Here is a 27,437-nt window from a genome sequence, read left to right as displayed (position 1 = left end):
TATGCCAGTCATTTTGTTTATTCTGCTAAAGGTGTAGGAAGAAAACATAGGTAAATGATTTGCTTAACTTTGCTAAAATATGAAAGTAGGTAAATATAACAACACTTGAATCTGAAATTAAATAGCACAGTATGTTGGCTTAGACAGTGGAATTTCATGATATATCTGATTTCAAGTTCCTTGTCCTCAACTCAGCCCTGTCTAGAGATCAACTGTCTTTGCTTTTTTGTCTTTACCATCTTTCTCCTGGCTTACCTTGGTTGTTCCCTCTTTTTCCCCTCCTTTTAGTTGCTTAATTATTAATCGTTACTATTAATTTGAGAAAATAACTTATTATACTTAAAATAATAGATAGCTAAGTATATCAATCCAGACTCCCATCTGTCAGTACTTTTGACCAGTGTGCCCCCTACAGCCTCCTAGGAAAAAGAACCCCTCCTCAAATAGTAGAGGATCTTACCACATGTGGCGTTATCTGTGCCTTATGTGCGTCTAAAAGGGTTTAGATGGTGAATGTAGGTGTAGGTACTATGAGGGTTTCTCGGTTTTGACAGGTCAATTTTGTTCAGGCTTTATCGTTAGCATATAGAACAGAGGTATGCACTAAATAAGTATTTGTTGGGTGGATGAATCTGGGTGCCAGTGAGTTAAGACGTTGTATTAATGTGATGATTCTTTTTACATAATAGATGTTTGTGAAAACAAGTTTTGCTTCTGTAAACTTCATTAACTTGACATAACTCTGAGCACTGAAATGTAGTTTATTCTATTTGGAAATATGTAGTACTAGATGAGCTCATACATGTTATTGTGAACTGCTGCTGCTACCTGTGTTTTTGAACTGAGTCTTACTGGAAGCTTCCAAATGTAGTTCTGTGAATTTGTTGCATCAGATTTGCCCTGGTTATTTAAAACAAAACATGTCTGGGAAGTGCTAAAATCTACCAAATCAGAATATCCAGGAGATGAGGCTTAATATTATTTGGTATCTTTATGAAATTATCTGGGTTGAGGAACCTCTAGGAAGTACTTACTTTTGTAACTTTCAGTTTTCTTTTGATTTCTAACTTCCACAGTGCTATGGCTCTGTTCCGGTATGTTGTCCTTTTTGTCTTTTATTGTTTGCTTTGGTGATGGCAATGCTATTTCTACTTAGTTAAAAGTATGCTGTGTCAGCTCACAAGCATGTGGTTAGAGATTTCTTCACCAGAAATGTATGTATAAATTTGTTGGCTTTGTTTCCTGGAAGACAGTGATGTGAAACCATGCTTTAAAAACAAATAAATGGCTGGGCATGGTGGCAAACACCTGTGATCCCAGCACTTTGGGAGGCCAAGGCAGGCAGATCCCTTGAGCCCAGAAGTTCAAGACCAGCCTGGACAACGTGGCAGGACCCTGCCTCTACTAAAAATAAAAAAAAATTAGGCATGGTGGCACGTGCCTGTAGTCCCAACTACTCAAGAGGCTGATGTGGGAAGGTCACCTGAGACTGGGAGGTTGAGTCTTCAGTGAGCTGTGGCCATGCCACTGCACTCCAACCTGGGTGACAGAGTGAGACCCTGTCCCAAAACCAAACTAAACAAAACAAAAACAAGTGAAGCACATAACCCTAGCAGCAGGATTGTTTTATCATGTAGACCATGAATTAATTAACATTTCGTTTTTTTCTTCTTCTTTTTTTTTTTTTTTTTTTGAGACAGAGTCTTGCTCTGTCAACCAGGCTAGAGTACAGTGGCGCAATCTTGGCTCAGTGCAACCTCCACCTCCCGGGTTCAAGCAATTCTCCTGCCTCAGCCTCCCGAGTAGCTGGGATTACAGGCCCGTGCCATCACACCCGGCTACTTTTTGTATTTTTAGGAGAGATAGGGTTTCACCATGTTGGCCAGGCGTGTCTTGAGCTCCCGACCTTAGGTGATCCACCCACCTCGGCCTCCCAAAGTGTTTGGATTACAGGCATGAGCCACCATGCCTGGCCTAACTTTTTTTACCCTATATAAGGATAGGTGAGTTGCTATTCCTGTTTATGTGAATTACATTATGCATGATGGGTAGGACAAGGTATCTTTTTGAGGAATAATGGAGCAGGAAAGCTACTGGAAAAATTCTAATAAGTACGTGTATTTCCTTCCCCCAATCATATTTACCCCAACAAAGTAAGTAGTTTATTGAGATTTCTTTTACTTTTTGTGTATATATATATATTTTAACTTAAGGATGTACCTATTTGGTTAGTTGTACACCATTTACTTAACATGTGTTTACTTTTTTAGCTGCTAAGCATGCTTCTAAGCTTTGGATGTACAAAGACAAACCTGTCTTAACTTCCTAGCCTCAGAGGACATGATGACGTGGTGAAAGAATAAGAAAACACAACGAAAAATTTTACTGTGGTATTGTTAGAGACTTGTCAGTGGTAACCAGATGGTGTGATGGGAGCTCTGAGAAGGTGCTTCCAAAACAGCACCAACACTTAGGGGGAAGTTTCATTGCTCAGGGCTTGAAAGGTTAGTGAGGAAGAATTTGAGAGTGTAGAGTTGAGAGAGAAGGGATGACATCCCAGGAAGAAGAAACAGAATTTGTGACGGCATAGGGGTATTTTATATGAAGGAATTTCACATGTCAAATTTTCCTAAAACAGAAATTGTCCTGTCTAAAATTGGTGGTTCTGTGAAGCTTTCTGTGTTTACTCGGCTTCCTTCCTTATCGTTAATTGTTCGGGTAACTTGATCAGTTTATATTTCAAATGCATAGCCTTGTGGCACATACGTTATTTTGAAGAGAGACAAGGTAAATTTAAAAGTTAGATAAACTTAGATATACCAGTGCTATGTAGAACCTGCCCGTTATCCTGTTGGAATGCCACAGGGCACAAACAGTTATGAAGTAGTTGTTGGATATATGTATATTGGTGTACTAAACTAATGATACTGTATTGAGGCTGCTAAATTTTTGGAATAGAATATTAAACTGGGAGAACAAATTACCTAAAACGTTTAGAAGGAACAATACCTTGAGCTCAAACAGGGCTAGGAATAATTCATATTCTAATCAATCAAAGTAGAAAACCTTATATTTCTTGGAGTATTGGATAGTATAACTCAGAAGGGTTTTGTCCCAGTAGTGGGGCAAAATTAGCCACACTAAATGCTGTTCTGGTACCCTGTAACAAAACCTAGAGCATGACCTGAAAGGATAATGTATTTCCAAATAACTGCATCCTAGAAGAAAGCTCAGGAATGTGTTTAGGAATACAAAATATCTGATACCTGATACGTAAAAGTCCCAGCCTTCTACTCAGAAATTCCCATACATATAAAGAAGCAAGAAAATATGACCCACAATAAGGAAACAAATAATTAATAGGAGCAGATCCAGAAATGACAAAGATAATAGAATTAGTGGACAGAGACATTAAAACAGTTATTTTGACCGTTATTTTATGCAATCAAGAAAACATGTTAGAGACATGAAAGGTGTAAACAGATCCAAATCAAACTTTCAGAAGTAAAACTACAATGTCTGACATGAAAAATGCACTGGATGGGATTAACAGCAGAAGTCATTGCTGAAAATTTCCACATTTGATGAAAAATACACACATCCAAGAAGCTCAACAAACCCGGAGCACAAGAAATATGAAGAAAATTATAAGATACATTATAATGAAATCACTTAAAATCAGTGGTAAAGAAAAAAATCTGAAAAATAGCCAGACGGGGGGAAAAGAGCACATTACATATGGAAGAACAAAGATAAGGATGGCAGGAGTCATCATTGCATCTCATTGAACAGTGAAGCCAGAAGATAGTGGTGCAGAATCTTTTAAGTACTGATAGCAAAAACTATCAACTAGGATTCATTACCTACTAAAAATTTATTTCAGAAATGAAGATGAAATAAAGACTTTTCCCAGACATGTAAAAGCGAGATAATTCATCCGCAGCAGATCTGCATTACAAGAAATGTGAAAAGATGTCCTTAGGCAGAAGGGAAATGATACCAAATGGAAATCTGAAAATGAATACAGAGTACCAGAGATGGTAATTATGTGGATAAATATAAATTACTCTTACCATAACTGAATATTTAAAGCAAAAATAAACGCATTATGAAGTAAAAGTTAATAACAAAAAAGAGCAGGAGGGAGAAATATTGTTGTTAACTAGTTTGTTTTTTTCTTGAGAGACGGGTTCTCACTGTGTTACCCAGACTGGCCTTGAACTCTTGAGCTCAAGTGATCCTCTTGCCTCAGCCACCCAAGTAGCTGGGACTTTAGGCATACACCACTGCACCTGGCTCTGTTGTAAGATTCTTAAACCATACTTGAATTGGTATGGTATCATTTGAATTAGACTGTCATGAATTAAAAATGTATACCATAAATTCTGAAGCAGCCACTGAAATAACAGATATATAGTTAATTAACCAACAAAGGAGGTAAAATGCAATCATAAAAACAACTCAGCTAACCCAAAAGAAGGTAGAGAAAGAAGACAACTAGAACAAAGAATAGATAATATGGATAGGAAACTAATAGCAAGATGACTCAACTGTATCCATGAGCACATTAAATGTAAATTGCCCAAATGTCTCAATTAAAAGGCAGATGTGTTAGATTGAATAAAAAAACAAGATGCTACAAGAAATCTACTTTAAATGTGAAGACACAAAGGTTAAAGTAAAAGGATGGAGTAAGATATTTATATAGCTACTTTAATTATTTTCATGATTGCCTGGCTAGCAATAATGAAAATAATTAAAGTAGCTATATGAATATCAGATAAAGATTTCAGAGCCAAGACTATTACCAGAGATAAAGAAGAGTGTTATATAATGATAAAGAGATTAATTCCTCAAGAGGACATAACAGTCCCAAACATTCGTGATCTAATAGCTTCAAAAATCTTGAAGCAAGATGTTAAGAACTACAAGGAAAAATAGACAAATTCACACTTAAAATCAGAGACTTCAATACCCCTCTCGATAACTGATAGGAAGGTAGAAAGAAAATCAGTAAGGATACAGATGACTTGAACAACAATACTGAACACAACATATCCTAATTGACATTAAGTGTACCCTTTACCCAACAACAGTAGAATGCACCTTCTTTTGAAAGAAGAATGGATCATAAAGTAAGCCTCAATAAATTTAAAAGGATTTTAGTCAGATAGTGTGTAATTTCCTGACCACAGTAGAATTAACTTGGAAATTAATAACAGAGAGGTATCTAGGATATCTTCAAATATTGGGAAATTAACATATTCCAACTAACCCTTGGGTCAAGAAAATGAAAAGGGAAATTACAAAGTATCATGAACTGAATGAAAATTAGAACACAACATCAAAATTTATAGCATGCTACTAAAGAAGTATATATAGAGACATTTGTAGCACTAAATATTTGTATTAGAACAAAGGTCTCAATTCAATGACCTTTAGTTTCTTCCTTAAGAAATAAGAAGAAAAAGAGAAAATTAAAACCCATAGTAAGTAGAAGGGAAATAATAAGAGAATGAAGACCAATGAAATGGAAAATAGTAAAACCATAAAGGAAAGAAAAACTGGCAGAGTGTAGTGGCTTATGCCTGTAATGCCAACACTTTGGGAGGCTGAGGCAGGAGGATTGCTTGAGCCCAGCAGAGCAGTTCAAGACCATCCTGGGTAACATAGTGAGACCCCACCTCTACCAAAAAAAATAAAAAATAAAAACCCTAAACTGGCTTTTTGGAAGATCAGTCAAATTGACAAGACTCTTGCCGGAATGATCAGATAAAAAAGAGAAAAGACACAATATCAGGATTGAGAGCGGTATCTTCACTTTAGATCCTTCAGATGTTTGAAAGATAATAAATACTATAAACAACTTTATGCCAATAAATTCAGCAAGTTAAATGAAATGGACATATTACTTGAAAGGCACAAACTACCAAAATTCACTCAAGGGAAAAAAAAAGATAATATCAGTAGTACTTTATCTACAAAATAAATTGAGTTTGTTTTAAAAACGTACCTCAAAGAAAACTTCAAGCCCAGATAGATTTGCCGGTGAATTATACCACACATTTAAGGAAGAAATACTACTGATTCTGTACAAAGTGTTCCAGAACATTGAAGAGGAGAGAAAATTCTTTGCAACTTATGTGAAGCCAGCATAGCACTCAGAAACCCAAACCAGAGGAAAGCATAAGAAATCCACAGTCCAATATCTCTCATGAACACAGATATAAAGATTCTTAATAAAATATTAAATAGAATTTAACAATATATAAAAAGGGCAATATATCACTCAAGGAGAGTTTATTCCTGCAATGGGTTGTTGGTTTGATATTTGACAGTGAGTCAATATAATTCATCATATTAGCAGTCTAAAAAGGAGAAATCATATAATCATCTCAGTAAGATGCAGGAAAAAACATTTGGCAAATCCGCCATCCATTCCTGATAAACGCCTTATGCAAAGGGAGTAGTGGAGAACTTTGTTAACCTGAGAAAGGACATCTACAAAAAAATTCTCTAACTGACAGCACACTTAATGTTGAAAAACTAGCTTTGTTTCTAAGATCCAAAATAGGTCAAGAGTATTCCCGTCACCACTTATGTCATTGTACTGGAGGTTCTAGGTAGTGCACTAAGGCTGGAAAAGGAGATAAAAGATATCCACATCAAAAAGCAAGAAATAAAATTGTCTTTATTAGCAAATGACATGGTTATGTAGAAATGCCTGTGGAATTTACAAAAGAACTCCTAGATAAATGAGTTCAGAATGCTTCCAGAGTATGAGATATACAAAAATTATGATCCTATTTTTATAGTGTTAAAAACTATGTATCATTGAAAAATGACCAAAAGAACATGATTCTCTATGGTTGATAGGTTCTTAAATTTTCTTTGATTTTTTTTTTCCCCCCAATTTGGCTTTTCTAATTTTTCATCAGGTGTTTACTTTTGTAATAATAGCCATAAAAGGTATTGTTTTCAGAAATATAATTTTAAGCCCCACTATATAAATGTAAATGTAATAGAGTTTAATAATTTTTAGTAAACATCACTATTCAAATCCTTACATTTAAAACATGTAGGAACTTACATTCAGTTTATGTTTTCTTATTCTGACCTGCCATTTTATACATCAATCAGCTATGCCACCTTTCCTTGATCTCCAAAATATAAGGCATTGTGAGGGCCTGTGATTGCATTCATAATTCATTTCTCCCCACATATTGATGAGTGTCACCTGTGTACCAGGTTTTGGGGAATGCAATGATGAAGAGACCTTATGGCCTCTGAAACTTACACTTTTCTCCATCCTCACCTCTTGCCATTTTCTCTCTTTGCTTAATGTATTCCAGCTATGTGACGCTTCTTTTAGTTCTTGGAAAGCCCATTCACTCTCATGGCCTCACACATTCAGTTTTCTCTGGCAAGGATACTTCTTCACACCCCCACCCTCCACCCCTCAACTCCATACTCTGTTATCTTCTGGGCTTAAATGTCACTTCCTCAGGGAAGCTTTCGCTCATCTCCCTGACAGGGTTGTATACTTTAATAGCACCTTACACTTTCCCTTCCCAGAATGTATTACTGTTGTATTTAATACTTTTTGTGTGATCTGTATTTGGAAATATTGTTGTAGGCTAGTATTTCCATCACAGATATGTTCTTCTGCATTGTTCTGCAGAGGTGGGCTTTAGTTTATCTTGAGCTGTTAAGTCTGTTGTTTCACCTTATGATAAAACAACTTGGCCTCTTGGCTGAATTATTAGCACAATCTGTGGCCAGGATTAGATGGAACAAATCCAGTTGTTAATAATGTACCATAAACATAACTGTTGGAATTTCAGGTAACACAGGAAGAAGGACAACAGTTAGCACGGCAGCTTAAGGTAACATACATGGAGGCATCAGCAAAGATTAGGATGAATGTAGATCAAGCTTTCCATGAACTTGTCCGGGTTATCAGGTAAGCAAAACACATTCTAGATGTGTGTTTTAATAAATTACTATTAAATGTTTTTAGTAAGGATATTTTATATGGAAGTGATTCCTTTCTAGGGATTAATGCACATGGTGCATTACAATTTTTAAGTACATATTCTAGGCACTTCTAGAATATAAAATATAATTTAATTATGAAGTATAAAGTACACATAGGATTTTGATAAGAATAAATGCTGCTTCCAAAGGGGGTGATGGTGTGAAGATAGTGATGACAGCAGCTAACTTTTGCATGGTAGTCTCTGCCAGCTTCTGTGCTAAACGTTTTTACGTGTATTATTACATGTAATCCTCACCCTCGCCCAATAAACTAAATACTGTTTTATCCTCACTTTCAGAGGAGAAAATGGGGGTACAGAGAAAGAAGTTAAATAGCTTGTTCAAATTAAGACATATTAAATGGCAGAACTGGGGCTTTAATTCAAACCTCTGATTCCAGAGCCTGTGCTCCTACCTTTCTTTTTATCCAGCTCATCCCAGGCTAAGAGTAAACCAGGTAGTAGAGATTAAATAATCCTGTAAGGTGTGAAGTATAATGTCCCACACAACAGAGAATTTTTCTGTTAGATGCCATAGGGGGCCTTTTGGTTTAAAAAGTGTTAACGGGTTCCAGGAAGCTTAAGGTGTTGGGTGAGGTCTGATAGAATTACGAGGTACGTTTGTGGGTGAGAAAGATGAAGTTGCTTTAGTGAGTAGGATTTGATTTATTATTTTGGGTCTTGATGCCTGGCCCCTGTTTCATACTCTGCTCTGTAGATCTGGGATTCTCTGCTAGTTAGACAGTTTGATAGGAATGTGAAGTGGGCTGCTTTTTTTTTTTTTTTTTTTTTTTTTTTTTTTGGAAACAGAGTTTCTCTTTGTCACCCAGGCTGGAGTGCAGTGGTGTGATCTCGGCTCATTACAACCTCCGCCTCCTGGGTTCAAGCAATTCTCTGCCTCAGCCTCCTGAATAGCTGGGATTTACAGGCGCCTGCCACCACATCCAGCTAATCTTTGTATTTTTAGTAGAGATGGGGTTTCACCATATTGGCCAGGCTGGTCTCGAACTCCTGACCTCGTGTTCCACCCGCCTCAGCCTCCCAAAGTGCTGGGATTACAGCGTGAGCCACCGCACCTGGGCTGCGTATTTATTTTGTATCTAAGGTAAATTGACACCTGAGCGATGATCTTCTACTTATTAGCTCCTTGCCAAGGCATTGTCTTTCTGTGGAGGAAAAAAAAGTGAAGGTTATAGCTTTTTCTTTTTTAGTAGTTTGTTAAAAATCCCAGTCCCATTTTTTTTTAATGGTAAGAGTCTCGGTTTTATAAGATGAAAAAGAGATCTGGAGATGGATGGCGATGATGGTTGCACAACATCATGCATATACTTGATACCATCAAATTGTATACTTAAAAATGATTAAGATGGAAAATTTTATGTTATATGTATTTTACCCCCCTTTCCCATTCCAGTTCCATTTTAGTGTTAAGCAACTGATGAGGCAGTGCCTTCTTAAAATAATTATGACTGCCGTTTTGAAATGTTGTCCTTTGTTTTGGTTCTTAGGATCTCTCCTTACCCATCAGTAATTCAGGAATGAGGGGAGAAGTAGAGGAGGTTTTTTGTTTGTTTTGTTTTTAATGCCAGGAGCTATTAGATATATTCTAACATCACAAGATCTTTAATCCTCACAACAGCTGTGAAAGGTAGGTTTCCATTATTCCCCTCTAAAAAAACTGGGGCTCAGACTAGGTCAACTAACTTTGTCTAATACTGAATTTAAAAAATGGCAGAACACAGATAAGACCTGCATACCTCATAAGGTTAATTTTATATTGCACTCTAATGATGAATCTTTATTCTTAAGGATACCTTAGAGTCATGGAATTTCAAATTGGGATGGGAACTTAGAGATTACTGAGTCTAGTATCTCGTCTGATTCAGGACTCATCCATTAAAGCAGCTTCATAGCTCTGCTTGTGCTGGTGTTGACGCGTTTGTGCCCTTTTTTGGTGGGGGTAGGAAAGAGAGAAATTCCCTCGTTGAAGTTTAACACTGAAAAGCATACACACTTAAAAGTGAACTTGTACAAAAAATAACCTGTGTTTGTAATAGTAGATTACCAAGAAGGCAATTATATTTTAGAATTTTTTATCTTACAGGAAATTTCAAGAGCAGGAATGTCCTCCTTCACCAGAACCAACACGGAAAGAAAAAGACAAGAAAGGCTGCCATTGTGTCATTTTCTAGAATCCCTTCAGTTTTAGCTACCAACGGCCAGGAAAAGCCCTCATCTTCTCTTTCTCTCCTCAGTTTACATCTTGTTGGTACCTTTCTAGCCTTAGACAAATGATCACCATGTTAGCCTTAGACGAAGAAGCTGGCTAGTCCTTTCTGTGAAGCTAATACAATGGTCATTTCCAGACAAATTTAAAGGAAACACTAAGGCTGCTTCAAAGATTATCTGATTCCTTTAAAATATATGTCTATATACACAGACATGCTCTTTTTTTAAGTGCTTACATTTTAATAGAGATGAATCAGTTTTGGAATCTAAGCTGTTTGCCAAGCTGAAGCTACAGGTTGTGAAATAATTTTTAACTTTTGGAATCATACTGCCTACTGTTACTCTAAATAGAAATATAGGGTTTTTTTTAATGTGAATTTTTGCCTATCTTTAAACATTTCAATGTCAGCCTTTGTTAACCTTAAATACACTGAATTGAATCTACAAAAGTGAACCATCTCAGACCTTTACTGATACTACAACTTTTGTTTTCTGATGGCCAAAATACCAAATGCCTGTTGTATTTATGGATTAAAAACTGCTTATAAAACCCTGTGTTACTACTCCTACTCTTGGAGATGATAATATTCTATGTGGTCAAATATTTGGACTCATTTAGGACTTAGATATTTCAGTGTACTTGATTTTTTAATTTAACTCTTTTTCACAGCCACGCTAAGGGTAAAAAGGAATAATTTCCTTCTGTCTTCCTTTTCAAGTATTTCTGGGTAAGGGATTCAAAAAACTAAAACTGTTTTTGTTTGTAATATAAAATATGGAATTGATCTTTCCAGGGTCAGAGATGATTAATGTTTTTGCTATATACTTTTATACATTATTTTCTTATCAAACTAGTTAACAAGTATTTTTATATGTTTGTAAGCAGATATGCTTTCATAGCATACCTTGTGTATATGTAAAGATAAGTATTTAATTCTCACTGTTCACTTTTAACTGACAAAGAAAAACAAGTGGAAACTACAGAAACTGTGGTAGAACTTTTACTTGCTGGTCTGGTCTTGGTTGTACCCATCTTTGGCCAGTCACATAACTACTCAAGAAACCTTCCCAATAGAGTACAACAGGATGAGACTCTGAAATCACTTTCAGTATTCCCTGCTAGATATTGATTGTTATTTCAAGTATTAAGTGTAAGCTTTTAATGGATAATTAGTATAACTGTGGATGGCATCTGATTTTGTTTTTAATTCTGTGGATTGTGTTTAAGCAATTCAATAGTATGTTCCTGATTTTGAGATGCTAAGTGGTATTGCACAGTTGTCACTTTATCAAGTGTGTACAACAGTCCCATGAAGTTTATAGAGCATACCCTTGTATAGCTTCAGGTGCTAGAATTAAAATTGATCTGTTATCACAAGATGATGTTTGATTACTCATTGTGTTAATTAAGTGGTTTCTTAAGGGAACAAGTGTTAGTGAAACTTACTTTAGTAGCTCTGTTCCTTTTCTCCAGTGCCTTAGGGTTTGAATCTAGAAGTCAGCATTGGTCATTCAGCAGGTGGAGGGGATGTGAAACAGTTTGATGTTCTTTGACTTGTTGAATATTTACTTAAGTCCGTGTTTCTTAAACTTTTTCTATGAAGTGCTCCTGATATAGAAACCCAACTGTAGAGGAAGGTGAATACCTACACAGATACCCCATGAAGATGAAACTGAAAACAGCTAAAGCCACACACACATTTATTTGAAGACCAGTAAAAATAATATAATTGTCTGGGTGCAGTGGCGCACACCTGTAATCCCAGCACTTTGGGAGGCTGAGGCAGGTGGATCACCTGAGGTTAGGAGTTCGAGACTGCCTGACCAACATGATGAAACCCCATCTCTACTAAAAATACAAAAATTAGCTGGGTGTGGTGGCGGGTGCCTGTAATCCCAGCTATTTGGGAGGCTGAGGCAGGAGAATCACTTGAATTTGGGAGGCAGAGGTTGCAGTGAGCTGAGATCGTGCCAATGCACGCCAGCCTGGGTGACAGATTGAGACTGTGTCTCAAAAAAAAAAATTGTGTAATTATGCACTGTACTTGATAGTATAACTATGTTGATATGGAATTATCTTCCATGTCTTCTAGTACAATTACTGCCCAGGAAGATACCATGTTTATCCTGTGGCTTTTGTTACTGTAGCACTATCATGTATCCTTGGTAGTACTTTCAGTTGGCAAAGTTTATTTGTTTTAGTTAACTTCAGATAACGAGATTGCTTACATAATATCCAGATTTAATGAGAAACCCATCAACTTTTATTATCTCAGTTTACCTTTTTTCCTCTTTATGCTTTACTTTGTATTATTATTATTATTTTTTGAGACAGTCTCGCTCTGCTGCCCAGTCTGGAGTGCAGTGGCGTGATCTGCACTGCAACCTCCACCTCCATGGTTCAAGCAGTTCTCTGCCTCAGCCTCCCAAGTAGCTGAGATTACAGGTGCCTGCCACTATGCCTGGCTAATTTTTGTAGAGGTGGGGTTTCACCATCTTGGCCAGGCTGGTCTTGAACTCCTGACCTCGTGAGCCACCCACCTTGGCCTCCCAAAGTGCTAGGATTACAGGCGTGAGCCACCGTGCCTGGCTGGATTGTTTTTATTACTACATCTTCAAGTCCCATCTCCATCTCTCCCTCCCTTCCTCCCTCCCTGCTTGTTCCCTTCCCCTCCCTCTTCCTCTTCCCCTCCCTCTTCCCCTTCTTTAGTAGAGACAAGGTCTTGATCTGTTGCCCAGGTTGGCATGTAGTGGCGCCATCTTGGCTCACTGCAACCTGCCTCGGGCTCAAAGTCATCCTCCCCCTTAAGCCTCTTGAGTAGGTGGGGCTACAGAGGCACATTCTACCACACCTGGCTACTTTTTATACTTTGTGTAGAGATGAGGTCTTGCCCTGTTGCCTAAGCTGGTCTCAAACTCCTGGACTCAAGCTGTCTGCCCACCTCAGCCTCCCAAAGTGTTTGGATTACAGGCTTGAGGCACTACACCCGATCCCCATAACCATTTCTTTTGCTGCTGTTTAATCTGCTATGAATCCTATCCAGTGAATTTTCATTTTGGATTTTGTGGGTTTTTTTCCCCCTGGAAATTATGTTTGGGTATATATATATATATTTTGTTTTTCTCCTCATTATGTTCATGTATTCCTCTTAACCAGCCCCTCTCAACTGGTTTTGCAGAACATTGAGCCCTGAATTAACACACAACAGATACGGCATTAGGGCCCAATTTGCATCTGGAAAATTTGCATTGTACGTTTGCATCTAGAATGGCACAGCCATGTACCATCCTTGGGAAAATAAAGAAAATAGTTCCTCAAATAACTTTCTGTGGGGCTCAATTCTCTTACAGAACTGTGATTGAGAAAGACTGCTTTGAATATTTGAATGTAGTTATAATAGCTGTTTTGAGTCTTTGCTGATTCTATTGCTTGTATAATTTTTGGATTTGTTTCTACTGACTGATTTTTCTCTAGTTATAGGTCACATTTTTTTTGTTTTTTCACATGCCAAGTAAGTTTTGGTTGGATGAAGGACATTGTGTATTTTATGTTGTTGGGTATCTAGATTTTGTTGGCGTCTTTGTTGGGTTTCGTTCTGATAGTTAATTTACTGACTGCAGTTCAGTTTGATCCTTTCGAGATCTCTTTTAAAGCTAATACAGTCTCAAGTAGCCTTTTTCCCAGGCTAGTTTAGCTCCACTACTAAAGTATGACCCTTTTGGGGTCTGTCTGCTGAATGCCCTGAATTATCAATTTGGCTTGTGGGAACTCAAAGAATTCCCAGCCCCGTGTGAGCTCTAGGGAACAATTCTATTCACAGTTCCTGGGTCATTCTTTGCCCAACCTCCTGGAGTTTTCATCCTAGACATATGTATCTTAATAGTCAGCAAAGACTCATAAACTCTATGCATGTTTTTGGATCTCTTTTTATGTGTAGCTGTCTTCTCAGCACAACTTTGTCCTGTGACTTCTAGTTGTTTCAGACTTCCTGTTCTTTAATGTCTCCTTTCAGCCCAGGGAAACATTTGTGTTCTACATGGAATCCCCCATCCCCTCTACAGTCTGGAATGTGCCTCCAGGCAGATGGCCAGGGCAGTGTTGAGGCTTACCCAACTTCTTTCCCTTCCATCAGGATTGTAGTCCTTTGCTACCTGGTGTACAATGTCTGAATGTATTTAGTCTAGGGTTTTTGTTTTTGTTTTTGTTTTTGTTTTGAGACACAGTCTTGCTCTATTGCCCAAGCTGGAGTGCAGTGGTGCGATCTCAGCTCACTGCAACCTCCGCCTTCTGAGTTCAAGCAATTCTCCTGCCTCAGCCTCCCGAATAGCTGGGATTACAGGCATGTGCCACCACACCTGGCTAATTTTTGTATTTTTAGTAGAGATGGGCTTTCATCATGTTGGCCAGTCTGGTCTCGAACTCCTGACCTCAGGTGATCCGCCCCCCTCGGCCTCCCAAAGTGCTGGGATTACAGGCGTGAGCCACCACACCCGACTAGTCCAGTTTTTTTTCTTCCGAGACAAAGTCATGTTCTGTTGCCCAGGCTGGAGTGCAGTGGTGCGATCTTGGCTCACTGCAACCTCTGGCTTCCAAGTTCAAGCAATTCTCTTGCCTCAGCCTCCTGAGTAGCTGGGATTACAGGCTCGCACAACCATGCCCAGCTAATTTTTGTATTTTTAGTAGAAACGGGTTTTCACCATGTTGGCCAGGCTGGTTTCAAACTCCTGACCTCGTGATCCGCCTGCCTCAGCCTCCCAAAGTGCTGGGATTACAGGTATGAGCCACTGTGCCCGGCTTAGTCCAGTTTTTAAATTGTCTAAGATAGGAGGGTTAATCTGGTTCCTGTTACTCCATTGTGATTGGAAGTTGAAGTGTTTCCCATTTGCCTTGTAGCTTTTTAAATCTCTGACTTGAAACTTTTCTTAAAAAGAGTGGACAGTCTCATGGAATGAATAGTCCTTGTCTATGTGGCCATTTTTTCTCTATAATTGGGAGTTTGCAAATTTTTTCATAAAGGGCCAGATTGTAAGTGTCATCTTGGGCTTTGGCGGCTATATCTCTGTCCCAACTAGTCTAGCCTGCCATTATAGCACTGAAGCAGCCATAAGCAATGTCTAAATGAATGTGGCTGTGTTCCAATAAAACTTTGTGTATACTGATGTTTGTGTTTCATGTCATCATCATATGTCATGAAATATGACTCTCTTTTTGCAGTTGTGAAAACCATTCTGTACAAAAACAGATGGTGGGATGGATTTGACCCACAGGCCATGGTTTGCCAGCCCTGCTTTATTATAGCACATTTAGCATTTGAGCGATTCTTTAGAATCTCTTAAGTCTCTTTATGTGGAAGTTCTTTCAGACAGCATTTCCTGAATGGATGGTCATGAATTTGTGTTCTAGGTGTTTTCTTTCTATATTGTTTGTTTAGAGATTTACAGTATCTCAGAGTTGGACATTATGCCCTTATTGGCATAGATTGTGCCCTTATTGACTATTTTATCATTTGACTTTTAAAATGTGATGTAACAAGGTTGTATATACTTTGTCTAGCTTGCTCCTCTTCTGTTTATCACCACTTGTTTTAATTCATTTTATTTCTTTTCCCATAGCTGTACGCTATACGTAATGATCCCACTTAACAGGTAAGTAGGGGCCAAGCATAGTATCTCATGCCTCTAATCCCAGCACTTTGAGACGACAAGGCACGTGGATTGCTTGAGACCAAGAGTTCAAGACCAGCCCAGGCAACATAGCCAGATCCTGTCTCCATAAAAAAGTAAAAATAGAAATTAGCTGGGCATGGTGGCATGTGTCTGCAGTCTCAGCTACTCTGGAGACTGAGGTGGGAGGAGTATTTTAGCCCAGGAAGTTTGAGGCAGCAGTAGAGCTATGATCCTGTGATCAGCCTAATAGTGAGACCCTATCTATCTATTTATTTATTTATTTATTTTCAGATGGAGTTTTGCTCTGTTGTCCAGACTGGAGTGGAGTGGCACGATCTTGGCTCAGTGCAGCCTCCGCCTCTTGGGTTCAAGTGATTCTCCTGCCTCAGACTCCTGAGTAGCTGGGATTACAGGCATGCGCCACCATAGCCGGCTAATTTTTGTATTTTTAGGAGAGATGAAGTTTTGCCGTGTTGGCCAGGTTGGTCTTGAACTCCTGATCTCAGGTGATCCACCTGCCTCAGGCCTTCCAAAGTGCTGGCGGATCATGAGGTCAAGAGATTGAGACCATCCTGGCTAACATGGTGAAACCCCGCCTCTACTAAAAATCCAAAAAATTAGCTGGGTGTGGTGGTGCACACCTGTAGTCCCATCTACTTGGGAGGCTGAGGCAGGAGGATCGCTTGAACCCCGGAGGTGGAGGTTGCAGTGAGCCAAGATTGTGCCACTGCACTCCAGCCTGGTGACAGAGCGAAACTGTCTAAAAAAGCAAACAACCTCCAGATAACTGGCAGGTAAATAGAAGGAGATGATAATCAAATGGTCTTTTTCAAACACATCACTTAATCACTTAAGGGTATTTAACCAGTGATTGCTTCTAAAATTTCAAAGTAATTTTTAGCAAAAGGTATTTTAATTAAAAATACTTGACTGAGCATGTTTTTTTTTTTTTTTTTTTTTTGTGCATGGCAGTAATAGGCATTCTGGGGAAATGGATAAATGTGGAGATTTTCCTTTTTTTTCAAATTACTCAGAGTCTAGTGCAGGAAGTTTTAGAGTGATAAAAACAAATGCTGGGACCCACTTTCAAGGCAGAGTAGGAAAAGCATTCAAAAAGTGTTGTCCAGCAGAAGGGATTGTAGCATATATTTCTCCTGGAAAATCTGAGGGAACTTCTTAATTAGAATTGGTGTTTAAGCTGGAGCTCGATGGATTGGTAGGATTTGAGATGGAGAGGAGAGAAGAGTGAGGGTGGAAAGATGAGAAAGGCCCAGAGTTGGCAGAATGCAGGGTGTATTCTGGACTGGAACCTTGGCCTAAAAAGATTCTACATGCAATGGGAAAAAAATATGATAAAATAGACTGGGATCAGGTTGTGGAGGGCTTTAAATAGGATGGCCCTTCTGTGTATAATGGGAAACTGCCAAGGATTCTGAACAGGAGGTGCCTGGATCTAATCTAGTGGTAGCATAATGGCAGAGAAGTGCAAATTTGGTGGTCAGATAGAGGTTGTTGGAATCATGGAATCTGTTCTCTTAGTATTATAAACTCAGTGAGGGCAGAATCACGTCTGTTGTGTTTATATTGCCTGGCATGTGCTGAAAAGCCATTTGATGAATGGATGATTTCAGAAAGAGAGACAATGAAGACCTGAACTGCAGTGACATGGGGAGAAGGAGACTGAACACTGGAGGGATATCCAAGTGATGTTTGAGTCTCCAAAATACTGTCTGGATGACCAGGAAGGTGGTGGTGCTATTAATTAAAATAAGGAGTATAGGCAACTCTCTAGTGATAGAAATTTATGTGACAATCCCATACAGGGTTAGTCCAGGAGGCATTTGGGAATGGGGAATGGGAATTGGAGGTCAAAAGAGGCTGCTCGGACTAGGAATGCAGATTTGAAATTTGTCTCTTTTGAGCTTAGTGATTGAGGAGATAAGAATGGGTAATATCCTCCAGGAAGAGAGTGTTTGAGGAGAGGGTCCAAGGGTAAAACTTTGGGGAAAACAAACATGGGAGGTAGAAGATGAAGAGGCAGCAAAAAGCCAAGAGAAGTAGCCAGAAACTGGAGAGAACCACGAGGCTGTTTTGTGAAGGAAGCCACGGAGGTGGTGGAAAGCATTGAGTGCTGTGCAGAGGATGGGGGAGTGAGAGGCTGCACTGGTCTTGTGCGGTTGCTGATGACTTCCTTAGATTTATTTCAGTCTTCTGGTTGTGGAAACCAGATGATAGTGAGTTGAGGTGTGATTGGAGGCTAAGGATGTGGAGGAAGTAAGTGTGGGCTATTTTGAGAAATTCTGTGGCAAAAGCAGGGCAAGATGGGGAAGTTATCTTGTTTTACAGGGTAGGAGGTTAGAGGAATAAGAATAAGCCACTGCAAGTTACTTAATCACAGATAGGGAGGTATGCAGATCTGGAACTATGTATTCACACCTGGATCCTTCAGCGTTTGAGAAATTTAGAAACCTAGTTCGCAGACTCTAGCACATGCCTCTCTGATGGGGGAGAGTGGCACAGTGCAGCTTCTCAAGACTTATCTGCATTGGAGGGCCAGGTTAAAAGATTGTTAGTCTCCAGTGTTGTGGACTGATACTTTTCTAAATGTTATAAAAAATGAATTATTTGGAAAATAATCATTCTCCTGTATATCATGGCAGTGTCAAATTAAGAGTTTCTAAACACTTGCTTTCAGTTTCTTTATCTCATTTGTGGATCTTATCAGGCTGCAGGTCTTGATTTGGGCAGCACTAGTGTAGTGGGGAAGGGAGCAGGAGAGTCGAGTGTTTTTCACAGGTGGCGCTTTTGACTTCCTCTGTAGGCTAGTGATTCCAGGTTAGAACCACTGAGTAACAGTTACATTCCAACACTAGAAAAAGAGGGACTATGTTTATACCAACTCCAGGTGTTGGAGTCAGTAGACTTGAATAAGATGTTTTCACCCTTTTCCCTTCTGTGAATACTTACAGATTATTTGAGGTAAAGAAAAATTGCTTAAACATGCAACTGCTTAAAATATGAGAACTATTACCAATCAGTTATAAAGACTAGGAGTATTTAGAACAGTATGAGAAAATGTTAATGAGTGCTATCTTATGTTAAGACATTATGAATATTATGAATGTTAAGTGAAGACAAATTTCATTTTGCTCTGATAACTGTAAAATTATGCATGCATATTTTATTTGTCATGACATTTTCAGTTATAAGTGACAGAAATGCAACCCAAACCAGCTTCACACAGTGCATGCATTTACTTATTTATGAAGTGAGGGTTGGGTGGAGTGCAGTTGGCTTTCAATGAGTCCTACAACAGGATACCATCAAGACCCACGTGTAAGAATTGTCTAAATTGTGGAGGTGGAGTAGAGGTGTCTGCTAGTAGGAGAGAGTTTGTGTCGAAGCCTAAGGCCAGAAAAGGTAAAATAACTGGCCCCAACCCTCATGGGTACTCAGGTGCAGCAGTGGTTTGAACCTAGGTCCGTGGTACTGAACCATGACACAGCCTCTGCTCTCCACCCTACAGAGCATGTGAAGCCTTCTGAACCAACAGGGTTTCTAAAGCAGGATGTCATTATTTAAATTTGACATTTTAGTGTAGATCTTTTGCTTTCAGATTTCAAAGGATGTAAATTGAAGAATTAGCTTCATGCTAATTAGCATTCGGCTGCTATTTATAATTTGTTACTGCATCTCATTTTCAAAAGGGATTTATTTTTATTCATTCTCCCTACATTGGGCAATATGAAGAACAACATGAATCATTCTCTTATTAAAATTGATAGCATCACATAACAAAATAGAGGAAATGACTGTGTCTTCCTTGAGTCTATGTTATAATTAAGGATTAAACATTAATGTTTAGTTTTTTTTGTTTGTTTGTTTGAACAACAGAGTCTATCGTTAGGGAATAAATATTTAGCTCCTTTGTAGCTGAACTTCCAAAGCTGAGCTCTTTTAATGGTCAGATTCCATTATAAGCTGAGGAGAGGCCTTTCTACAGGTCTTGAGCTTTCTGATTTTTTTTGAGACAGAGTCTTACTATGTCATTCAGGCTGGAGTGCAGTGGTATGAACATGGCCCACAGCAGACTACCTCCTGGGTTCAGGTGATTCTCTCATCTCAGCTTTCAGTGTAGTTGGGACTATAGGCACGCACCACCATGCTGGCTTTTTTTTTTTTTTTTGGAGACAGTCTCTCTGTTGCCCAGGCTTGAGTGCGGTGGTGCGACCTCGGCTCACTGCAACTTCTGCCTCCCTGGTTCAAGTGATTCTCCTGCCTCAGCCTCCTGAGTAGCTGGGACTACAGTCGCACACCACCATGCTCAGCTAATTTTTGTATTTTTAGTAGAGACGGGGTTTCACCATGTTGGCCAGGGAAGTCTCAAACTCCTGACCTCAGATAATCCACCTGTCTCCGCCTCCCAAAGTCTGCTGGGATTACAGGCGTGAGTGACCGCACCCAGACAATTTTTGTATTTTTTGTATAGACAGGGCTTTGCCATGTTGCCCAGGCTGGATTTTTTATTTAAAACATTATTTTTTTTGCTGGGCGTGGTGGCTCACGCCTGTAATCCCAGCACTTTGGGAGGCTGAGGCAGTTGGATCACCTGAGGTTGGGAGTTTGAGACCTGCCTGACCAACATGGAGAAACCCTGTCTCTACTAAAAATACAAAAAATTAGCCAGGCGTGGTGGTGGGCGCCTGTAGTCCCAGCTACTCGGGAGGCTGAGGCAGGAGAATTGCTTGAACCGGGGAGGTGGAGGTTGCAGTGAACTGAGATCGTGTCACTGCACTCCAGCCTGGGCAAAAAGAGCGAAACTCCATCTCAGAAAAAAATTTTATTTTTTAACCATTGTCTGAAATGTGGACTAAACAGAAATAAGTCACAGAAATAATTTGACTTTGAGAATTTTTGTGTATTGATACTCATCTTAGTCCTTTTAATGTTGCTATAACAATACCTTAGGCTGGGTAATTTATAAAGAAAAAAGGTTTATTTTATTTAGCTCATGATTCTTCAGGCTAGGAAGTACAAGAAGCATGTTGCCAGCATCTGCTCCATTTCTGTTGAGGGCTTTTCATGCTGTGTCATAGCGGGGAAGGTCAAAGGGGACATGGATGTGTTTGAAGAGGCAAAACCAAGGGGCATCCTGGCTTCGTAACAACCTACTCCCTTGGGAACAATTCTGTGAGAACTAAGTCAGTCTAGAGAGAGAACTACTTCACTACAATGGTACCAAGCCATTCATGAGGGATATGCCTGCATGACCCAAACCCTTCCCACTAGGCCCACCTCCCAGCGCGGCCACCTTGGGGATCAAATTTCAAGCGTGAGTTTTGGTGGGAACAAACTCAAGCCATAGCACATTTTAGCCATGCCCTTGACCTGGACTATTTCTGGAGAGCTATAGTTGTGTGAGAATGTGTAATGTATCCTTACTTCCTGGAGGGAGTACATAGACTTTGAGTATCCCTAAAATATGTTCAATATGCAAAGTTCAAATTAAAAACAGCACGATGTTTATTTTTTCAGTTCTGGGTCTATAGAAACCCAGGTTTATTCCCATTTGCTACAACAGATTCCCTTCTAATAAAATGCACTGGCAAGGTGACCAGTGAGTGACCCAATGTCTGGTTGGGAAATCTCTCTCTGAACTTCTTGCTGTTGGACCTAAAATGTGGATGTAAATTGGATCACAGCTGGTTTGGCATTGAAAAAAATACATACACAACAAACAATTACAACTTCTTTATATGGCAGTTTTTACTGGGTGTCTAATACTCTCTTTACTGTCTCAAGTGGAAGTCCAAACAAATTTCATTTTTGTAGTAAAAAATCTTTATTTCCAAAATGATTTGTTAGCCAAAAGAACTATAAACCACCTAACAAGACTTTGGTAAGAAAGAGACTTGATGCTTCTTATAAATTCCCCATTGCAAACAAAAAATAACAATCCAACAAGAGTCATGTTACCCATTCTTAGCCATTAACCTGGTTTTAAGTCTCCAAAATCAGGATTTTAAAATGTACCCAACTGGGACCAAATACAAACATGAGACACTAGGGTGGCTTGTCCTTGATTAGGAATCACCAGCTTAAGGAACTTTATCATGGGCTGAGAGTTAGATAGATAGCTTAGAACAACATTGCAAAAGTGGGTGCTTCTACATGAGGACTTTTTTCCCCCCAAGTAGAAAAATAATTAAATCTTGTGTTTCTTTATATTGTGCTTTTTTTGGGAGAAAGCAATTCATTTAAGGATTTAAAACATGTTGGATACAAAGGTAGTTCAGAGATGTAATAATGGTCCCTCCAAGAACAAGGGAGCAAAAGCCCTATCTTTTATTGAAAATGATGGAGGTGGAGGACAATATAAAAAAGAACCTTCTGAACACTTACTTAGCTTAAAGACATGAAAGACCCAGTGAGTTTTTATTGAATAGTCTCTCTTGTGTTAAAAGTACATATTCAGGACTATACTATGTTGTATTTGGAAATATTCTGATGTGTTTAATACAAATTCGTAGTGTATTCAGAGCATTGTATGTGTCTCACCAATGGTACACATTTGGATTAAGCAGTAATAAGGCCTATAAAAGAAGAAATGAAACAATAGTTTTCAACAATAAATGCAGGAAGAAAAACTGCTGATGGACCCAACTGAGAAAATGTCCTTTTACACTATCCCTTGGTGGTCAGTCTCCCTGAATCTGGTGTGCTTATAATTGCTGGGAAGGCAGTGTAAACCTGTGGCCATTCCTATGCATGTCTGGGAGGACCACAGCCCTGGTGTGGAGCACTGACAGGTTTGACTTTCCACCAGAATTGCTTGCTCAGCTTAATCCCATAATATTCCTTTCCCTTAGATTTGTTTTCTGTCTCGGTAACTTTTTCTCTCTGCATATAAAATTTCATGACTAAAATAACTTTAAAGTACAGAGATTGTATTTTGTTGAAGGAATGCATTGGGGGGGCTTTGGGCAGACTTAGCAAAATGTTTGTATAGCAAAAATGTTTTCTTGCTAAAAACTGATTTGCAAACTTGAACGTCTAGATGTGTGTAGGAAGATTTTAAAATTTAGGCAAATTGGTCTCTAAAGAGACCAATTTTGCTTCCTTTGTCTTGGTTCCAATAAGGATTTAGTACCAAAAAGTTCAGAAGGCTGGCTTCCCAGAAGAATTGTACATACTCCTCTGAACCCCCAAAAGCAAGGGAAAAATACACTCTAAGCTTATTATTTATCTCAGGTGTAAAAACTAGCTACCTTATATTTAAATAAAGCAGCCATAATTTATTTATTTATTTTTGTTGGGGGGGCATCAGGAACCAATATCAGGGGTGAGACAAATGTATTCCGAATTTCTCAGTGAAAGAACAAAAGCCACCCAACATCAATGCTCCTCTTCAAGTCTACCAGCTCTGTTTTTCCCCAGGAACTATTGATGACTGAGGAGACTTGAAAAGAGACCTAAAGTTCCACTAAGAAGAGATGGGCAAACAATGGTTTCATTGAACAGGCCAAAGATGAGAATGTGGGGAATCTGCTGTCTTCATCTGTGAATGTTTCCTACCTGCCGCACCCTGGGACTCAGGCATAGTCACTTCCAGACATGGTTGCCTCTCCATGTGGAGTAGGTCAAAGTCTCCGTCCTCCCTGGCCAGGTGGAAGCTCCAGAGGGACATGTTTCAGCTTAGTACAAGGTGGCTGACACTACTCCTCTGCAGGAAGAGGCTGGCTGGAGGTGAGGGCGCCCCACTCAGCCTGTACCCATCAAGAAGTATTCAGAAAGGATGTCTCTGGCATCCACAAGACTACTGGGCGAACCACACTGCAAAAATGAAAACTAGCGTACACAATTTAAATTGTCTTAAACAAGCAAATAATCCAGCCATTGGTGACTCTGGAATCTAGAGTGCAGCCCTGGGGAACTCGTACCCTTGCTAACAAGGATGAACATTGCATGCTCTGATCTCCTTCTTGTCTTTGCAGCTGGTAAACTGGGAGCTTTTGAATCTCTTCTTTACAGTCATGTAACGTTCCTGAATTCCACCTCCGCACAGTTTGGTGCATTCTGACCAGGCCGTCCATGGGCGCATCCTACAACCTGAAAGCATGAGAATGCCTTGTTAGGCCCGCAGAAACGGGACGGAACAGGGATGCTGAACTCTAGTAGAACTGTGAAATGTGCTTGTCTGGGCTCCTCCTCTGCTCAAGTATGTAATGATTGGTTAGAGTCGTTATTAGGGACAGTTAGGTCGTATGTGACTGACTGCAAAAAAATGGCCACAAATGCTTCACGGTTCTTCTCATCAAAAGGCAGACTCTGTTTCTCCACCTCTTGAATCTGGGCTTGACTACATGATTTGCCATGGCCAATGGGACATGAGCAAAAACAGGCCTAAAAGCTGCTAGGACCCTTCTACTACCATGTAAGCAAGCCTGGCTAGACCACTGGAGAGACCATGTGCAGAGAAGCCCCAGCCATCTCATGAGGCCCCAGATACGCAGGTGAGGCTGGTCTGGTCCAATTGTGCCACCAGCTAGTAGTAGCCACATGAATGAGTCCAAACTAGACCCAAGAAGAACCATCCAGTGGACCCAGTTCACATCACTGATCCACAGAATCTTGCTAAGTGATTGTTTAAAAAGACTGTTTTGGGATGGCTTATGCAGCAGCCATATAAGGAACACTAAACCACTTTCTCTTATGCCTTACTCCCCAAGTACTTGGCTCCCAAATGCTAAGTATAGAGAAGTACAATTTTTGTTCTTCCTACTCAGCATAAACATGCTGCTCTCCAAGAAAACTTCCCTGACCCCAGAGATTAATTAGGTTAGATCTTTTGATTACTGCTTCCATAGCACTCTAGATTCCTCTTTTATAGAACCCACCACATTTATGGTTACACATGAGATATTTGTTAACCACACTACAGCTAAGAGTCATGGAGGAATGTACCGTACAACTATGTACCTGCCACATAGTAGGCTTTAATGAATGTTTGTTGACTGGCTGACTACCATGTAGAACAGACAGCACTTTGATATGCAAACAGCTCCCTAATCATAAGGATCCTGAACCATCAAGGAGATCCTCATGCTTCAAAAAGAATAGGCCTTTAAAAATCAGAAAACTTGATGTACATGTTAATCTTCACTTTTTTACATGGGCACCTTCAGCACTGAAGTCCCTGGCAGGCATTTTCTTTTTCTTCTGAAGTCCTGGAACTCTGAAGTTAAGCTGGAGTTTGGGGATGTATAATCTTTCTCTTGGGTTACAAATAAAACCTATCTGGCCTCTGTGTCTGTTTGCCATCCCCAAATCAGTCAACACAGGTCTGATACAGTCACCCTCTTGCTTAAAACCACCTACAGAATCAGGTCCCAAAATCCTTGGTGGGCCACTGGCCTTGTGTGGTCTGGTCCCTGCCTTCCCAGCCTGGTTTCCTGCCTGCCTTGTCCTCTGTGCTTCATCTGCATCCCATTTATCACTTGGACCTATCACTTGGACCTATCATGGTCTTTGGCATCTCTGTGCCTTTGTAATGACTATTCTTGCTGCCTGGAATGTACTTTTCTTTTTTTTTTTTTTTAATTTGAGACGGAGTTTCACTCTTGTTGCCCAGACTGGAGTGCAATGGTGTGCTCTTGGCTCACTGCAACCTCTGCCTCCCCAGTTCAAGTGATTCTCCTGCTTCAGCCTCCTGAGTAGCTGGGATTACAGGTGTGCGCCACCATGCCCGGCTAATTTTTGTACTTTTAGTAGAGATGGGGTTTCACCATATTGGCCAGGCTGGTCTCAAACTCCTGACCTCAAGTGATTGGCCTGCCTTGGCCTACCAAGGTGCTGGGATTACAGGCATGAGCCACCGTGCCCGGCCTGGAATGTACTTTTCTAAGTGGCAAACTCCTCTAGATTTTTCAAGACCCACTCTAGTTTTCCCTGCTCTGACATCTCCCTGAACTCCAGTCAATGTAAGATGATGCTCATTCCTCAGCTCCCTGAGCACTTGGTGCATTGTTCTATTAGTTATTTGTCAGCTTGGATCAATATTATTTGGGGAAATAAAACTCAAGGCTGACATGACACTGCTGATAAACTTCTGGTTAGCCTTGCAAAAAAAAATCATAAAGTCTCAGGCCACGGCTGCCTTGTCTGAGCCACACCCTTAAAATGGAAGATGATGTGTTCTGGGAGGTTCTCAGGAACATTCCCTAAATGATGAACAAGACAAGACTCCTTTGACACATCTGTATCATTTTCCCTCTTTGCAAGGAGTGAATGGTGTTGCTAAGTCATAACTGACTTTGAGCAAAGTTGGACACATTATTGGTTTTATATGTGTGTAAAGAAGGAACTGTAATTCCTAAAGATTCTTTGCTTGAAAATTTATTTTTGGCAGGTAATTAGGTTATCTAAATGTTCTTTGATAAATGACCCCCACCGCCAATCTCCTTTATAAATTATGCTTGCTCAATATTTGGGAACAAACTTGGATCTAAAGAATCAAAATGTGGCCTGAAGACTCCAGAAGATGCAGACTCTCCCCGACTTTTTTTTTTTTTTTTTTTTTAAACAGGTCCAAGACTTAGCCCAGTGCAGAACCCTGCCTGTCCTGGAGACCACCCAGGCTGACACTTGGGAGCCATACCTGGGAACTGCTCCCCTTCAGACTCTTCCTTCAGCTGCTCACTCCGCCGGCTCTCTCGGGCCTCCCTCCAGCGTAGCTTTTGGATGGATGGATTTCGAAGGCATTTTCGGATGCGGCACTTTTTTCGCTGCACAGTCTCTGGGCAGGGTGCACCTCCAAACTGAGGCTCCATTTGGATCATCCGGGTTCGAATCACGTGGCCTTTCCCACATGACTTGTTACATTCCGACCACTGGGACCACTCGGTGAGCTCACAGTCAATGGCTGGCAAGACACAGATGGGCATGAGTGTATCACATGTCTGAAACAAGATATGGTCACGCTCTCCTTTGAACATCTCAACAAGCCTATGAGGGATGCAAAGCAGGTGCTGTGTCATGCTATTTTACAGAAGAAGAAACTGAGGCTCCAAAGAGGCAGGCTGACTTCAGCCCGTGTGGTTGGTAAGCAGCAGAGGCAGGATTGGTGCCAGGTCATCACCCATTCTATGCTCCCTCTATGACTCAAGAAGGCTTTGGAGGACTTTCAGGATGTGTTCAGAGCCTCTTGCCCTGCTCTGTGAACTAGAATATTGTCAGATCAGCCTCAAGTACAGAATAGCTTCCCACAGTCCCAAACTCACTGGTGATATTTTTCAGAGCAAGGCCAGCAAGCCCCCTGCTGCTCTTTGGAGAGAACAAGTCAACAAGCTAAAGGCGGCTGACCCTTGTGGACCAATACCAAGGACATTGTGGTTCTAACACACCCTGGCAGCTTTTCATTCTCAACATCATCCTGTGTTCTATATATGGTGGTCTATGCAAAAAACACAGGAGCCAGAAATGGGACATTCAGTAGAGAAGAGGGTC

At 40.0% G+C, this 27,437-nt stretch overlaps 2 protein-coding genes across 15 annotated transcripts in view; one reads left to right on the top strand and one right to left on the bottom strand.

Moving 5' to 3' along the window:
* The window catches only part of RRAS2 (RAS related 2), an 86,587-nt gene extending 74,942 nt beyond the window's left edge, over positions 1-11,645 (top strand). For 8 of the 14 annotated variants that reach the window (NM_001177314.2, NM_012250.6, NM_001102669.3 and 5 more), the window contains exons 5-6: positions 7,845-7,963; positions 10,141-11,643. In NM_001177314.2, coding sequence (NP_001170785.1) covers positions 7,845-7,963; positions 10,141-10,228 — 207 coding nt within the window. In that variant the 3' untranslated portion in view covers positions 10,229-11,643. Of the gene's footprint in view, positions 1-7,844; positions 7,964-9,003; positions 9,142-10,140 lie in introns of all 14 variants that reach the window. The other 6 variants (NM_001440708.1, NM_001440710.1, NM_001440709.1 and 3 more) reach the window with 3 other exon arrangements.
* SPON1 (spondin 1) overlaps positions 21,432-27,437 on the bottom strand; it is a 305,411-nt gene continuing 299,405 nt past the window's right edge. The window contains exons 15-16 of the mRNA NM_006108.4: positions 26,590-26,853; positions 21,432-24,041 (exon numbers count right to left, since the gene is read on the bottom strand). Coding sequence (NP_006099.2) covers positions 23,878-24,041; positions 26,590-26,853 — 428 coding nt within the window. The 3' untranslated portion in view covers positions 21,432-23,877. The remainder of the gene's footprint in view (positions 24,042-26,589; positions 26,854-27,437) is intronic.

Source organism: Homo sapiens, chromosome 11 (assembly GCF_000001405.40).
Source record: "Homo sapiens chromosome 11, GRCh38.p14 Primary Assembly".
Classification (NCBI taxonomy): Eukaryota; Metazoa; Chordata; class Mammalia; order Primates; family Hominidae; genus Homo; species Homo sapiens.
This window is presented reverse-complemented; position numbering and strand designations above follow the sequence as displayed.